At 35.8% G+C, this 18,025-nt stretch overlaps 1 pseudogene across 1 annotated transcript in view, besides 1 other annotated feature; it reads left to right on the top strand.

Moving 5' to 3' along the window:
* The window catches only part of DPY19L1P1 (DPY19L1 pseudogene 1), a 138,230-nt pseudogene that overhangs the window by 70,514 nt on the left and 49,691 nt on the right, over positions 1–18,025 (top strand). The window contains exons 7-9 of the transcript NR_036680.1: positions 9,290–9,381; positions 13,304–13,403; positions 16,035–16,112. The product of NR_036680.1 is annotated as a DPY19L1 pseudogene 1 (transcript). The remainder of the gene's footprint in view (positions 1–9,289; positions 9,382–13,303; positions 13,404–16,034; positions 16,113–18,025) is intronic.
* Positions 9,745–9,794: an enhancer, noted in NCBI's record as "active region_25829". NCBI's record gives its function as "activates an Ori minimal core promoter by ATAC-STARR-seq in GM12878 lymphoblastoid cells {active_cell/tissue: GM12878}" and the evidence as "EXISTENCE:reporter gene assay evidence [ECO:0000049][PMID:35858748]".

Below are 18,025 nucleotides of genomic sequence, written 5' to 3'. Positions count from 1 at the left end.
TTTTTATTTTGAGCAAATTGAAACTTACAGAAATGCTCTAGATTCAGTTTCATTTACTAGTTTTAATATTTTGACACATTTGCTGTCTCTCTTATACAAACACCGACACAGACATTTTTCTAATCCGTTTGAAAATGAGCTACAGATATGATGAGATCTCACCCCTAAATACTTCAGTATATATTGCCTAAAAGCAAGACATTCTCCTACATAATCACAATACTGTTATCATACTTGAGAAATTTCACACTAATAATTATATAATAATATCTTAATACAGCCCATATTCTTATTTACATAGTTTAGTCCTATAAATTCTTTGATGCTTTTATTTTGGATCCAGAATCTGATTAAGGATTGTACATTGCATTTAGTTGTCATTTTATTTAGAAAAGTTTATCTCAGTCTCTTTTTTTTTCATGGCATTAACATTTTTGAGGAGTCTGAACTAATTATTTTGTAGAGGTCTGACATTTTGGACTTGCCTGATCGTTTCTTCATTAATAGATTCGGATTAGACCATTTTATTTTATTTTATTTTGAGGTAGGGTCTCACTCTGTTGCTCAGGCTGGAGTGCAGTGGCACAGTTTTGGCTCACTGTAGCCTCTCCCTCCCTGGTTCAAGCGATTCTTGTGCCTCAGCCTCCCGAGTAGCTGGGATTACAGGCATGTGCCACCACACCCAGCTAATTTTTATACTTTCATTAGAGACAGGGTTTCACCATGTTGGCCAGGCTGGTCTTGAACTCCTGGCCTCAAATAATCTGCCTGCCTCGGCCTCCCAAAGTGTTGGGATTATAGGCTTAAGCCATTATGTCCAGCCAGATTGGACATTTTAATGAAGAATATGGCACATATGATGTTGTGTCCTTTTCTTTGCATTACATCTGGAGGCACATAAAACCAATTTGTCCCATAATCGAATTTACTAAATTAAATCACACAGTTAAGTGGTGGTGTCATATTTCTCTATTATAAAAATGCCCTTTTTCCTTTTAATAAGTGAAATGTGGGATGATACTTTGAGACACCAATACCCTCTTCCTCTATAACATTTACCAACTGATTATGCATCCATTGATGATACTTGCCTGAATTAGTTATTACATTAGCCATTGCAAATGGTAATTTTCTAATTCTGCCATTTAATCTACATTTAATGGTGTTCTGTAAAGACAAATCCCCTGTCCCGCCATTTTCTTTTACTATATATGCATAGGTTTTTTTAAAATTTATTCAATGTTTTATAATCTGTTGCAAATCTTTTTGATGTTCTCATTGTCACACATTTAGCCGGTAGTAGTCTCCCCACATTTTAATTATATATAATTTTCATACATTAAGATTTGCATATTTTAACTGTTCAGTGGATCTTTACATATGTATACAGTCTTGTATCCAGGAACTAGATCAATGTATAGACTATTTCCAGCCCCCAAGCAGGCTCACCTCTGTTCCTGTCCAATCTGTATCCTTCTCCATCCTTCAAAAGAGGTAGCCACTCTTCTATCTCTATCACTATTGATTAGTTTTGCCTATTTGGTGGTTTCATATAGTGGAATCATATTTTCTTATGTCCGATGTCTTTCTCTCAACATATGTCTGTGATATATATCCACATTGTTTTCCAAAGTGCTTGTACCAGTTTTCACTCCCATTGGCAATGTATGAGAATTCCAGTTTCTTCTATCAGTATATCCTTGTCAGTGCTTGGCATTGGCAGTCCTCTTAATTATAGTCATTCTGATGAGTGAAATGGTACCTTATTATGGGTTTAGTTTGCATTTTCCTGATGAGTAATGATATTGAGTACCTCTTAATATGGCTTATCTGATTTAGATATTCTCTTTTCTTTAATACCTATCTGAGTCTTCACCCATTAACAAATATTTGAGTTATTTTATTCATATATGGGAACTCTTTGTCAATTCCATGGAGTTGTTTGTAGAATATATGTTCTACAAGTACCTTCTCACCACTTATGACCTGCCTTTTCATCTTTTTGGATTTTGTGATTGTATCTTTTTGTACACAGATCTTTTTGAGGTTTTTTGATGAAGTTCTTAATTTTCATGAAGTTCCATTTAGCAATCTCTTATGTGTAGTCTTTTTTGTGTCTGATTAAAAAGTCTTTGCCTACTGTAGGTCATAAAGATTTTCTCGTATTTTCTTTTAGAAGCTTGAAGAAAATATAAGGGAAAATCTTGGTGTAGCTTTCACATTTTGGTTTATAATCTGTCTAGAATCTTGTATACAGTATGAAATAAGTTCCAGATTTCTTCCTCCCCTACCCCACCCCAAATAGGATGTCCAGTTAACCCAGTACCATTTGTTAAAAAGAAAATTCTTTCCCCGCTGAATTGTAGTGGGCCTTGTGTCATAAATAAAGTGACTATATATTTTTGGATTTATTTCTACACTCTCCATTATGTTCTATTTGTCCGTTTATCTTCAAGCCAGTACCACACTGCCTTAAATATTGTAGTTTATAAGTTCGATATCTGATAATGAAGATCTCTAACCTTGTTTTTCGTCAGTATTGCCATAGCTGTTCCAGGTCCTTTGTGTTTCCATATAAATTTTAGAATCAGCTTGTCACTACTCCCATCTCTTTCAACACATACACAACCTGCTGGTTGTGTATTAGATCTCTAGGTTAATTTAGAATGGACATTCCTGAACATACTAAATCTTCCAATCCATAAACATAGATTTATATTCGTCTCCTTTAATTTCTCTTAGCAATGTTTTATGTTTTGCACATATTTTATTAATCTCTAGATATTTTATGATTTTGGCACTCTTTTCTGCCCTTTTGATATATCTCATTGTGTTCAGACAAACACTTCCTTTCAAACACAAAAAGGTTCCAGAAACAAATTATTCTGTAATACACACAAAATAGTTTCAGAGTTACTACACTAATGTCATTACCAATAACAATCCTACAAAGTATGGTTCAGTATTTCTCTACTTATTTTTCTCCTAAGAGTATATTCTACTAAGGAGGTATAGTCAGAATATAAAAGTTAAACAATTTAGAAGCAACCTGAATTGTTTTTATTTCTCCACATTGTATTATCATTTTGATAGTGCAATTTGAATCATTTGTTTCTGTTTCTATTTATATTGCCTTTATATCTTGGCTAATGCTTTCATTTTATAGTCAGAATTTTGGTTATGTTGATAACCTTGAGCAGTGTAGTTTATAACCACATGATAAAGGTGGTAGAGTTGATACTGATAACATCTTGCCAGATATATTTTCTATTTTAGATGAATAAGCAATGGTCAAGTTCGAGTCATTGCAACAATGGATGGAAACATGGAGGTGTACTCACCGCTTTTTCAACAAAGTTGACTGCTTTCACAGAGGTTTTTTGTAAATTTAGGATAGGATATACTGATATCTTAGATTTTCAGAGACAAAAAGATCAATGTTTTCTGTCATACAACCAGCTGAAATTCTTTATAAAGATAGTAAAGTTTAAAATAGCATTTACGTATCACTGACACATTAAACCCTGTGTGAGCCAAAATTGTATTATAAGTTCAGATTGAAATATGTAACTGGTTAATTGAGCAGCTTATCAGTACGGGCTGTGCATCTGTAATCTGAAAATCTGAAGTCTGAAATACTTGAAAAGTCCAAAACTTTTTGAACGCCAACGTGACTCTCAAAGGAAATTCTCACTGGAGCATTTCAGATTTTGGTTTTTTGGACTAGAGATGCTCAGTTAGTAAGTAAAATGCAAATATTCCAAAATTTGAAAAACTCTGAAATCTAAAACACTTCTAGTCCCAGCATTTTGGATGAGAAATACTCAACCTGTGTATGGTACAAAAATAGACCAAAACTCCAAGAAAGCAACCAGGCTTACCTGTTATCAAGATACAGTGCCCTGAGATGCACAAAGCCTACTCCAAACTAAGGGTCTTCCTAAATAATGGGACTGCCCTAAGTAGCATCAAACAGGAGATATTCAAGCCATGTCTCTTAAACCTAGCATTCTTATGGTTACTATGTGGATAGCAGGATTCTTAACACCTGTAACATTCTCTGAAGAGAGGTAGCATAACCTTCATGGTGCCAGCAGTCTTTTAAGGAAGCACTCATAAATATAGTGTTTAAAGCCTTATTATAGTTAATATTAAGCAATATGGAGCAATAGTGTAATCAATATAGAAAAGCAGCAGTCAGAGGTGGGTAATTTGTTTTAAACCTAAACATTATAGTAACAAGTTAGGATTGATCCAGCAAATAGCAACTCTAGTAAAAACTCTTGGAATAAATCTTAAACATGATCTGTTTGATACTAATATTAACCACAATTTATAACTCACTAGTCAGGTGTTCTATTTATTTTGAAGTTATGAAGATAAATCAATTAGATCATGCTGTATTTCCAATATTATAAGTTAATAGTTTGAAAATAGAGATTGGAAAATTAAGCTATTTTTGAGATTCCTTAGTTATTGATTCTTGAGTGATTGATTAAAAATTATTAAGCAGAAAAGAAAAGCCTCTTGTTAATATCTACACAGTATTATGTTGCAATATAATCAGTGTTATGAAATGTGTGATAAAAATTATATACTAGGTGTTAGCAGTTTGAAACATGAGATTTTTATTGAATTTATTTTCACAATAAATGGATTTCTTGTACTTAGAGACAACATACATTTGTATAAGCCTTTTTTGAAGCAGTTCACATGTATATTTCCTTTAATTCTCAAATTTCAAAATAATGCCTTTAAAAAGCATTGGCATTTTAAACTGTCACACTTTTTATTTTGCATTTAAAATTAGAGATAAAGAAAAAATATTTATTTGTTGAAACGTAAGGCATGACTAAACCAAATCTCTTCACTATTTTCAGATTATATGAGATTATCTGGAATGGCAATTATGTTTGTACCAGATCTAGTAAAACACATTGTGTTATTGGAGAAACAATAGAAAGCACTTTCATGGACATTTGAATTCATATACTCAGAACTTTGGAGGGAGAAGACCTTGCCCTTCATTACAGTCCTGTAATTGGGTTTTCTTGTCCCTACTTTCAGAGGATGTAATTCAGTTTTGTTGAACTGAGTGACTTCAGCTATTAAATGCAACGAATTTCGGAGGAATGATAACGTCATTGAATGTGGGTAACAAATGTGGGGGAACCGTCCATATGAAGAAAATTCTCAAATTGTACATTGCATAGTTTGAATACTTGCTTGTTTGAATACTTGTTTTTGTACAGACTGATGACTTTGCAAATTTTGATCATACAGGCATACTTCAGAGATATTGTAAAGTGAATATCGTAATAAATCAAGTCATAACAAATTTTTTGGTTTTCCAGTGCATATCAAAGTTATGTTTACACTGTACTATAGTCTATTAAGTGTGAAATAGCATTATGTCTAAAAAACAATGTACATACCTTAATTTAAAAATAAGTTGCTAATCCCAGCATTTTGGGAGGCTGAGGCAGGCGGATCGCCTGAGGTCAGGAGTTTGAGACCAGCCTGGTCAACATGGTGAAACGCTTTCTCTATTAAAAATACAAAAAAAATTAGCCAAGTGTGGTGGCGGGTGCCTATAGTCCTAGCTACTTGGGAGGTTGTGGCAGGAGAATCGCTTGAACCCAGGAGGCAGAGGCTGCAGTGAGCCGAAATTGCACAGCTGCACTCCAGCCTGGGTGGCAGAATGAAACTCCGTCTCAAAATAAACAAACAAACAAACTGCCAACGATCATCTGAACCTTCAGCAAGTTGTTCAGATGGAGGGTCTTGCCTTGATGTTGACAACTGCTGACAGAGGGGTTGCTGAAGATTGGGATAGCTGTGGCAATTTCTTAAGGTAACGATGAAATTTGCTGCATCGATTGATTTTTTCTTTCATGAAAGATTCCCCTGTAGCATGTGATGCTGTTTGATAGCATTTTACCCACAGTAGAGCTTTCAAAATTGGAGTCAGTCCTCTCAAACCCTGCCACTGCTTTAGCAACTAAGTTTATGTCATGTTCTAAATTCTTTGTTGTCATTTCAACAGTGTTTACAGTATCTTCACCAGTAGTAGATCCCGTTTCAAGAAACCATTCCCTTTGCTCATTTAAGAAGCAACTCCTTATCCTTTAAGTTTTATCATGAGATTACAGCAGTTCAGTCACATCTTCAGTCTCCATTTCTAGTTATCTTGCCATTTCCATCACATCTGCAGTTACTTCCTCCACGGAAGTCTTGAGCCCATCTAAGTCTCCCATGAGAGTTGAAATAAACTTCTTCCAAAGTCCTATTAATGATGACATTTTGACCTCCTCTCATGAATCAGAATGATTTTAATGGTATCTGAAATAGTTAATCCATTCCAGAAGATTTAAATTTCATTTGTCCAGACTCATCAGAGGAATCACTATGGCAGCTAGAGCCTTATGAAAGATATCTCTTAAATAATAAGACTTGAAAGTTGAAATGACTCCTTGCTTCATGGGCTGCAGAATAGATGCTGTGTTAGCAGGCATGAAGGCAACATTAATCACCTCATCCATCTCCACCCGAGCACTTTTGTAACCAAGTGCACTGTCAATGAGCAATAATATTTTGAAATGAATCTTTTTTTCTGAGCAGTAGGTCTCAAGAATGGGCTGAAAATATCCAGTGAATCATGCTAAAACAGATTTGCTCTTACCTAGGCTTTGTTGCTCCATTTGTAGATCATGTGCAGAGTAGATTTAGTGTAATTCTTAAGGGTCCTAGGATTTTTAGGATGGTCAATGAATATTGGCTTCAAGTTAGTCACTGGTTGCATTAGGTCCTAACAAGAGAGTCATCCTGTCCTTTGATGTTTTGAAGCCAGCCATTGACTTCTCTCTAACTGGGAAAGTCCTAGATGACATCTTCTTCCAGTAGAAGGCTTTTTCATCTGCACTGAAAATCTGTTGTTTAGTGCAGCCACCTGCCTCAGTTATGTTAGCTAGATCTTCTGGATAACTTGCAACTTCTACATCGGCATTGCTGTTTTACCTTGTACTTTTATCTTACGGAGATGGCTTCTTTCCTTAAACCTCATGAACCAACCTTTGCTAGTTCAAACTTTTCTGCAACTTCCTTACCTCTCTCAGCCTTCGTAGAATTGAAGAGAGTTAGGATTTTGTTCTGGATTAGGCTTTGACTTAAGGAAATGTGGCTGGTTTGATCTTCCATCCAGAATATTAAAACTGTCTGCATATCAGCAATAAGGTTGTTTCACTTTTAATTTCCTTCAATAATTTTTCTTTTGCATTTCTGACTGTTAGGCATAAGAGGCCTAGCTTTTGGCCTCTCTCGGCTTTTGACATGTCTTCTTCACTAAGTTTAATCATTTCTAGCCTTTGACTTAAAGTGAGAGATGAACAACTCTTTCTATTAATTGAACACTTAGAGGCCCTTGTAAGCTTATTAATTTTCCTAATTTTAATATTGTTGTGTCTCAGGGAATTTGGAGGCCTGATGGGAGGGAGAGAGATGGGAGAGTGGCTGATCGGTGGAGCAGTTAGAACACACACATTTATCCATTAAGTTTGCCATCTTATTGGGCATGGTTCAAGGCACCTAAAGCAATTACAATAGTAATATCAGAGATTACTGATCACAGATCACCATAGCAGATATAGTAATAATGAAAAAGGTTGAAATAGGCCAGGCACAGTGGCTCACGCCTGTAATCCCGGCACTTTGAGAGGCTGAGGCGGGCGGATCACGAGGTCAGGAGATCGAGACCATCCTGGCTAACACAGTGAAACCCTGTCTCTACTAAAAAAAATCCAAAAAAAAAAAAAAAAAAAAAAATTAGCCGGGCGTGGGGCAGGCACCTGTAGTCCCAGCTACTCAGGAGGCTGAGGCAGGAGAATGGCGTAAACCTGGGAGGTGGAGCTTGCGGTGAGCCGAGATCGTGCCACTGCACTCCAGCCTGGGTGACAGAGCAAGGCTCTGTCTCAAAAAGAAAAAAAAAAAGAAAAGGTTGAAATATTATGAAAATTACCAAAACGTGACACAGAGACATGAAGTGACCACATGCTATTGGAAAAATGGCACTGATAGACTTGCTTGATGCAGGGTTGCCACAAACCTTCAGTTTGTGACAGACCTTATCTGTGAAGCATGGTAAAGGGCAATGAAACGTGGTTTGCCCATGTATCTTACTGTCAATCCTACTGAACTCTCCAGTTAATCTAATAAACTAACAGCTTTTAAAAATTGCATTCTGGTAACAACAGTATACATTATCAACAGACATTCAGTAATATTGAGTAACAAGAGTATCCATCAGATCTTTTCAGCATTCCCTTGTGTGAGTAGTTCATTCATAAATAGATATGTATGTCAGTTTCATAGAGGATGGTGGGCTCGGTAGAAAAGAGGAGTAAATTGACTCAGTCTTTCTATAGCAGTACTAGAAATATTCAGTAGTCTGAGGTAGAGCTAAAATATAGGAAACACTTATTTCTGACATGGTCTTTGTCATTCTGTGGAGTCTTTTAGGTACCCCTGCTTGCACTGAAAGACATAATTTATTTTAGTGTGACTTAATAATATCAGATTGCTTGCATTTAATTCTATGCGGTTTTCTGTCGATGGAAGGATGAACTTACTAATGTATTTAGTATATATACAGAAAAATGACATTATTACAACTGCGATAGTACATTGCTTAATTATGTCCAAAGTGAGCTTTTCAGAAAGGTTTATACTTCACAATTTTAGGACTTTTGTTACTTAATTTGATTCCGCCACCTACTTTTAAATATTTTGCAACCCAGGGTAGCTTAGGCAAAGAAGTAAAACCAAAAATGGAATATTCCTTTGTAGCAGCACTGTGAATGAAAATACTAAAATTGATGACTACAAGAATTCTCAAGTGCTGGTTATGGATAGTTTTGCTGAAATTCATGGGAAAGAAGACAAACAATAGATAAATAATCAATTCAAAATATTCTGAAATTTGACAGAACGTTTTTTTGCTGGTACTTTCCTCCCTTTCCTTTTAAGATGTAGTTGCATCTTTTTTGGTATTTTCTTGTTGACAATTCATATTAATGCTTTACATGATCTTAAGCCACATGTGTCTCTGTCAGTAATATTTCTCACATGCTAGTTTTGCTGTTTATGGGATAAAGTCCAGTAGTTTGTTTTACAACATACCATTTAAATTATTTGTTAAAAATAATTTTATTTTATTTATAAATAGCAATTTTTACTTGGAATGTCTGTCTTAGTAAATTTAGCAAGTATACTATACTACGAATTTTTTTTTCAGTGTACCTGTGTAATGTGGACACCACCTCTCCGCGAAAGCTTCTCATATCCATTTCTTGTTCTTCAGATGTTGCTTGTGACTCATATTCTCAGGTAACTTTGACTTAACCTTATTTCTTTTTGCATTAAATAATTTAAACTAGAATTTCTTAAGCTTCCATAATAAAGTCAACATAATAAAATAATTTACCAGTATGATGCCATTATTAGTAAAAATATTTTAAGAGTATAACTTAAAAATAGTACCAAAAACATTTCCTCCATCAGCCTTCTGTTCCTCTTCCTTTTTCTTGGTGGTCCACAGTGACTGCTTGAGAAGGAACAAATTGCTTTCACTTCTGTCATTTCCACTTTCTCAAGTCTTCTTCTGTTACCACTATAACTTCCTGAAAATGAGTAGAAAGAAGGTGAAGGCTGGTTATGCTATAGTGTATCCTGTAAGATGCAATCCTTTGGGGCAAAGTGTAATTCACAGAATTCACACTTCTCTCCCTTTCTGCTGACAAATATTGAATACAGCTGCCTTGCTCCAGAGGGTAAAAATGAAACAAAATGGGGGCTATGGAAAAATGGAACAAAGCATGATAAAAATCTGAAGATGACTCAGACTGATAACTCTTTTCAGTGATCCTCCGAATTTGGAAGAACTTTGTTGAAGTCTGTTATGCCAAACTCTTTGGGCAATCTATTTCCCTCTGATTGTTACAGCAAGTATAGAACCATCACATGGCTTTTAGTCTCCTATGTAGTAGTGTCTTTAGACAGACCCTTCATAGAACATGGGATGGGTAATGTTTTTGCATTAGCTTTTTAAAGTCTGTGTAGCTCCAGCTTTATTGCTGTCCCCTAAACTCTTTTATAGGATTTAAAGCTTCTTTAGCACCTTCAAATAAGGTGAACCTCTATGAATTCGTAACCTTTAGCTCTGCCTTGTTGGTTCTGAGGCACCTTGAGCAACGGTCCCTTCTCAAACATCTCTGTAAGAAGTGTTGTGCTGTAGGAGTCTTTGATTCACCACTACAGATGCTGTTTTTCCACATTCACATTCTTGACCGTGGCTTTTTTCTCCAGTATAGTGCAGACAGCAGACTGCCCATCAGTCTCTAGTTCCTTCCTGCTTTTCTACCTCTGCTCCTGTCTTAAATCCAGCGAAGGCAAACCTTTGATTCTTCTTTCACTCACTGATCTGATCTGTCCCTAAGTGGGCATGGGGATGCTGCTCCGGTGACTGAGTGCTGCTTCCTTTAGTCCGTCTGTACCATAGAAGGTAGTGTTACTTTCCTGTTGCTGTGTACCAGTCACCACAAACTGGGATCTACTACCTTGAAGTTTTCTAGCTCCTTAGTTTTAAAATCAAGGTACTGGAGGTGCTACACTCTTCCTGAAGGCACAGAGTGGGAGGGGAGAGAATCAATTTTCTTGCCTTTTCTAGCTTCTAGAGGCTGCCTGCATTTCTTGGGAGGCTGCCTGCATTTCTTGGGAGGCTGCCTGCATTTCTTGGGAGGCTGCCTGCATTTCTTGGGAGACTGCCTGCATTTCTTGGCTTGTGGCTCCTTCATCTTCAAAACCAGCAATGCTGGATTGGGTCCTTCTTTGTCAGTTTACTCCAACCTTCTCTTCAGCCTCTCTTCCACTTTTATGTATCCTGTGGTGGTACATAAAAGTGACATGACATGTTCACAGGTTCCAGGGATTAGGACACATGTTTTTGGAGGCCATTATTCTGCCTACCAGGATGGGGCCTCTCCAGTTGCTGTTTCCTGCCTTCAAGGGCTGCCTTCTATTGGGTCCTTCTCTGTTTTTGGCTCCAGGTGCTTCTGTGGCAAGCTTTTTGTGTCTTCTTTAGCCTCTTATCATTGTCATTTTCAGCCTTACCCACCTGTTCATACCTGTCTTTACTTTTTGCTGAAAAGTTTTAGAGAACTTTCCTTTCTTTAGAGCCTTTTTCATTGTCTCTGTTCATATTCTAGTTGACATTTCCTTTCTCATATTCCTGGTCATCTGAAGCTGAATCAGCTGTTGTTTTCACCACTCCTGGTTCAGATCCATCTCGTCTTGATCTTCCTCGCCATCTTCATTGGCAGCTTATCAGTTCTGATTGCGACGGCTTTCCTGGCTATGCCCCTTAGTTGTCATGGCTCCCTGCTTGCCTGCTGTGGCTATGACTGGTTGCTTGGAAGTGTGGGCTTTCATTTTGCTTTCTTGGACACTGCAGTCTTTTTTGGAGGGAAAACCTGCTAAACTTCCTTTCTTGAAGCTTTGGCAGACATCTTGTCTTTTTTCTGAAGGATAGTAACCTTCTCTCTATTGGCCATCTTCATCTTCTGATATTTCATCCTTATTACTGACATTGTCTCCTTTGGAAGAGCAGCCATTTCCTTTAGTTCTTGAGTTCTACCTGTAGTTGACATATTATGACATTAGAGGGAGGTGGTGGGTGGTGATGGCTTGGGGGAGCCAAGAAGAAGCTGAGCAGTGTTGATGCAGGCTGCAGTGCTGAGGATACTGTTATAAAACCGGAAAAGAGACTATTCCTTAATGCTAGGAATCATTTATAAATAAGGTTAGTGGTATATTTTAACAAATTGGTTTTGTCCAGTTTTGAATTTTAAGCATTTTTAGAAATTCAGTTTATATAGTCACCTAATACTAGCACAGCTTAGCTTTTTCTTGATTGTTCTTAGCTTTTTTTAATTATTCTTGGCAATATTTATGTTTCTGTTTCTGTTTTCTTGGGTCAGAGCTATTTTGATCACCAATTGAATTTTCTTTGTTTTCTGTTCATTCCTATCTCCCCATAGTGCATTCTTTACCCAACTGCCAGATTGGTATTAAATTCTGCTCAGAAATCTTAATGTCTCTCGTTACCCATAAAATGAAAATCATATTTAGTATTCAAAAGCAGTAGAGAAGTACTTTATTTTAGACAGCGGCTTTCAAACTTTTGGACTATGATCTATAAGAAATAAGAAATATGTTTTACACTGTGGCTTTGTATACACATACATGGATGCACACAACTGAAACAAAAGTTTTACAGAATAGAACCCCTCGTAAATAGGATATAGTCATATATATTCTGTTTCACTCTGCTGATCTCCATTTTTAAATGCTGAATTTTATTCCATAAGTTGATTTCATAACTCATTAAAAGGTTATCTGGAGTTTAAAAGTACTTTTGTTGGATTAAAATAGCAGAGAGGGATGTCCTTTGGAGAAGGGATACTTGGGGAAGTGAAGAAAGGCATTTCATAATGGTGCTCTATGCTCCAGGTAGGTTTATCTAACCAGGATGTCTTTACTGTATCCGAGCTGCCTATACTTCATCACCTCAGTATATTAACATGCACACTCCACTTCTGTGAAGATGGACATGTGTGGGGGCTTTGCGTTGGCTCGCAGATTTAGAGGATAAAATCATCTTACCCTCCTAAAAATCTCCTAAATTACAAGTCAGTACCAAAATGAGATCTCTAAAGATTGCTTCAGAGTGGCCCCCATATCTTTTCCTCCACTTAACTTTTCTGTGTTATCCTGCCTGTGCCAGACCCAACTTTTTATCTCACATGCTTATAAAATCTCAGCCGCTTAGCTCTTATTCTGCATTCTTGCAGTAGTTGTCTGCATAATACTTAGCACTTAGAATATGCTGCTATTATCTTTTCATAGGCATCTTCTGCCTTTCTAACTAATGAATCTGTTGAATCAGTATTTTTAAATATTCAGTCATGGATTCACCAAAATATAATTTGAAAAAAATGTTCGTGGATATACTGACCCAGCCACCCTCCTTCTCTCTGTGTTATTGTTAGCAATAATGGGTATTTACCTTTCAAAGAAAATTGTTGTAATTGAGTATCAGGAGGTATAATTTCTAACCCATTGGTTCATTTTATGTTTAGGTTTGTGTTATAACCAGATCATATATATTTCGAGATTCTAATTTGCAGCAGTTTGGAGCCATGCTAGACTATTTCGTGTTTAAACTTACTAACACTTATTTTATCTTTTCAAGGGCTACAAAACTTTATAGAGGAAGTTTGATTGCACTCTGCATTTCCAATTTATTTTTCATGCTTCCTTGGCAGTTTGCTCAGTTTGTACTTCTTACTCAGGTGAGGTGATTATATTTTAAGCTGTTTTAAGCTTAGCATGTTTGACTATGAACTTATTTGCATAAAATTATAACTGAGATGTTCTATGATTCTAAGTCCTAAAACATTTTCTAGGAAAAATGTTTTTCTAAAGCATTTTCTAGGAAAAATGTTTTTCTAAAGCATTTTCTAGGAAAAATGTTTTTCTAAAGCATTTTCTAGGAAAAATGTTTTTCTAAAGCATTTTCTAGGAAAAATGTTTTTCTAAAGCATTTTCTAGGAAAAATGTTTTTCTAAAACAGGAACAGAAAAAATGTTTTTCTAAAACATTTTTTAGGAATGTTGAACAAAAGAAAGTTCAGGGTAGAGAAATATGTAGGATTATTTATAAATGATTGTTAATTATTTACTTCCTAACATAATGCATTTATTGAACTCAAATTTGTAAGAATGCTTATCTTTGTTATTCAGTATTGTTAATGTCCTTAAAAGAGGACTAGTGCTATAACTTTAAGTATTTCTCTTAAGTTAACAATAGTATTTCTCTTACGTAAAATGTTTCTTTTATGAATAGTTGTGTACATTCTTGCATGTAAAATACAGACACATAGGATTACAGGATAAATAGCTAACCAGTTCATCTCTTATAAAATTCTCTCTACCAGTCTGGAAATTTATCTATTGCCTTTCCATGTACTCATGCCCACTATAAATGGAGGTAGTTTGTTGAGAGAGGGTTACATACTCTCAAAAAAAAAAATGAGTTATATACTCATTTTTTTCCCTGCCTACTATTTTTTTTATTGTACTGGTATATTTGTATAAAGCAGTTGAAGAGTTGCTTTTTTTTTTTTTTTTCTGAGATGGAGTCTTGCTCTGTTGCCCAGGCTTGAGTGCAGTGGTGCAGTCTCGGCTCACTGCAACCCCCACCTCTCGGGTTCAAGCGATTCTCCTGCCTCAGCCTCCCAGGTAGCTGGGACTACAGGCGCATGCCACCATGCCTGGCTAATTATTTGTATTTTTAGTAGAGATGGGGTTTCACCTTGTTAGCTAGGATGGTCTCGATCTCCTGACCTCGTGATCCGCCTGCTTCAGCCTCCCAAAGTGCTGGGATTACAGGCGTGAGCCACGGCGCCTGGCAGCTTTTTAATATTTTTTAGAACGTCTTGCTTGAGAAATGAAGTTAGACTTGGATTTGAGTCCTAATTCTATTCAGTAGCCTCTTAACTTGGATAAAGTAGTTAACTTTTCTTAGTTTAGGTTTTCTCATTTCTGAAATAGAGATAATAAAAGAACCTACTTTATTGGGTTGCGGATAGGACCAGATGAAGTAATGTATATGATTCTTAACACAGTACCTGGTACTTAGTAGGTGTCAGTAAGGTTAGTTGGTTTTATCATTATTTTTTAAAATAGGCTCTATTTGTACTTACTTTTTACTTTGATCTTGTCTTGTAGACTCCTTTGTCTAACTTAGTTCGATGACATTTTCAATCAGTTTCTGGTTTAAAATTGTCTCTGAGATTGTCTCTTGAAAATTCTACCCTGTAAATGTACTGTGTGTTGCTTAGCCCTTGGGGTGAAAAGGGAGCATTCTCATTGCTTCCTGATAGTGGAGACTGCCTGCTTTTTTGTGGAGGTGAGGGTCAGGGGAGGTATTTTGCCTCCCTGTGGGGCTTACATTGAATAATAACACACACTTCCCCACAGTTGTTATGTCATATCAGGCACCCTAAGAAATGCAGTGTTCTCCATGGGTAACTCTGAATAAAGGGAAACTTAGTTGTTTTTCTCACTAATGAAAAAATTTGTTGTAGATTGCTTTAGAGATAAAAAAACTTGATGAATGAAACAAGTTATAGTTTAAGTATTCAGCTATTTTGCAATCTGTTTATGCTATGCTTTTGTAGTAGGACAGGAAGAATTTAATTTGAATTGCTTTCTCTATGAGGAAGGGTGTAGAGGCATTGTCTGACATATTACCTCCATGTAAGAGATACTGTATCATCATTTAATCAATTCATCTAAATAATTCCAGTACTCTTAGAATTATTGATATATAACATATAATTTTCTTCCAAATGGAAAAGAAAGTTAAAAATACCTTTGCAGCGAAAGTACTCTTAATTTGAAATTGATAAATTTGATTATAACTAACTCTTGAATATTTGTATTAATGGAAGAACGCTAATGGAGATACTTGTAAAGAGTGACTAGCAAGCAGAAATTAACGTATTTTTATGCACACATGCATTGCATAATTATTTTTCAGTTAAATGTACCTTCCCCAATTATGTATTAGTTGTCATGTTATAATTACGTTTTCATCTTTTTTGATTGGACAAGGTACTTTTTAATTGTACGTGTTGACAGTAGGGTTGACCTGAAATTAAAATGAGTATTGTTTTGGACAATCAACAAAGTAGACAATTCACATGATTGAGAGAGCTGTGTGTCAGAGAGAAAAATCAACCAATATTTTCTATACTAATATATTGACTATATTTAATAATAAATTGGCAGATAAAAGGAAAACAAAAGAACTCACTCTGTGTGTAGATATAAATCAGTTGAAACAACAATAAATATATTCTTCATTCTTGTAGCTATTCATTTTATCTTTTTTACTTCTATTTTCTTTTTAAATTTCAGATTGCATCATTATTTGCAGTGTATGTTGTCGGGTACATTGATATATGTAAATTATGGAAGATCATTTATATACACATGGTAATAATTTTTTTATTGTTCTTTTCCATTTAGTTTGCCCTTAAACTCCTGATTAATATTTGATTTGTTCATGGTTGAAACTAGTTGTAACAATTTCATAACTAAAACAAATGTTGTTCAAACATTGTGATATAATCAACAGACCTTGTTTTGATAGACCACTCACAAAAATTTAATTTGGGTCATATTATCTGATTGAAGTTGTTCCCAACTTATGCATTATCAGTAAAAGAAATAATTTATGAAACGGAAACATGGGACTGATATATTATCCAGGAGCTGTCTGTTAAAATGAAGTAGAAGGGCCTAACATGGTGGCTTATGCCTGTAATCCCAACACTTTTGAGAGGCCAAGGTGGAGTTCACTTGAGGCCAGAAGTTTGAAACCAGCCTGGGCAACAGAGCCAGATCTCATCTCTACTAAAATAAAATAAAATTATCCTAGCACGGTGACGCATGCCTGTAGTACTAGCTATTTAGGAAGCTGATGTGGGAGGATCGCATTAGCCCGGGAGGTTGAGACTGCACTGAGCTATGATCATGCCACTGCACTCCAGCCTGGGCAACATAGCAAGACCATGTCTCTACAAAAAAGAAAAAAAGTTCATTTACTGAGTGTCAACTATCCAGGCATGTGGAATACACCAGCATTCATATTACTACATTCTAACAGAGTGGGGGAAGGAGGGAAGACAGAAGATAAATAATAAACATAGTAAATGGGTAAATTTTGTAGGGTGTTAGAAGGTGATAAGGATTTTAGGCCAGGCATGGTGGCCTGGGGAGGCTGAGACAAGAGGACATTTGAGCCCAGGAGTTTAAGACCAGCCTGGGTGAGACCCCCATCTCTATAAAAAATTACAAAAAGAGATTTTAGAAGAAAGAAAAGGTAAGGGTAAGGCAGATCAGGAGCACCAAGATCAGGGGGTAGGAGATGGAAAAATCAAATGAGGTGGTCAGGGCAGGTCTTCTTGAAAAGGGGGAGTAGAACAAAGATTGGAAGAAGGAGAACGAGTTAGCCAAGTAGATATCAAAGAAACTGATACCTAGGTTGGTGGAACAGCTAGAATAAAGACCCTAAAGCCGATTGGTTGATGTTCTTGAATGGTTATCCTTTAAAAACAAACATTTGTCTTCTCTCTCATTAGTTTTTATATTGATGTTTTCTTTTCCTGATAATTTTACAACTGTCATAATATCCCATTTTCATTTTCTTAACAATTTATACATATAAAAGAACATTTATAATGTGCAAGGAAGTTATAAACACAGTCATAAAATAAACAACCGGGAGCCTACTCTCCAAATGGAAAATAGAACCTTATTGTTACTTTTAAGTCCTGTATGCCCTGAGCTCATCCCCTCACTGTTCCTAGAGGTAACCGCTATTCTGACTTTTTGAATCGTAATCAATTTGCTTTTCTTTATAACTTTACCATATGTGGATTACTAAATAGTATAAATTTTTATTATTAAATGTTCACATTCTTTGTAAGGTTTATACAAATGGCATTTTATAAGTACTATTTTTTCACTCAGATTTCTGCTACTTATATGTAACTAGAATTCAAATATTTTCACTGCTTTATATTTTCCATCATATAAATAAAGCGTAATTCATTTATTCATTTTCTTGTTGAAGGACATTTAGGTTCTCTCCTCTCTCCCCAACTTCTTATTTTAGTTATAAATAATGCTGTACATTCTTCACATATCTCCTAGGGCACCTATGTTGAGAGTTTCTCTAGGGTGTTTACCTAGTAGTAAACTTGTTGGGTGGTAAATTATGTACATGTTCAACTTTATAAATACCAAATTGTTTTTCTAAAATGATTGGACTACTTCCAACAGCAATATATAGCAGCTTATGTTATTCTACATCCTTTTTTATTTTATTAATCTGGTTCATGTAA

This window comes from Homo sapiens, chromosome 7 (genome assembly GCF_000001405.40).
Source record: "Homo sapiens chromosome 7, GRCh38.p14 Primary Assembly".
Classification (NCBI taxonomy): Eukaryota; Metazoa; Chordata; class Mammalia; order Primates; family Hominidae; genus Homo; species Homo sapiens.
This window is presented reverse-complemented; position numbering and strand designations above follow the sequence as displayed.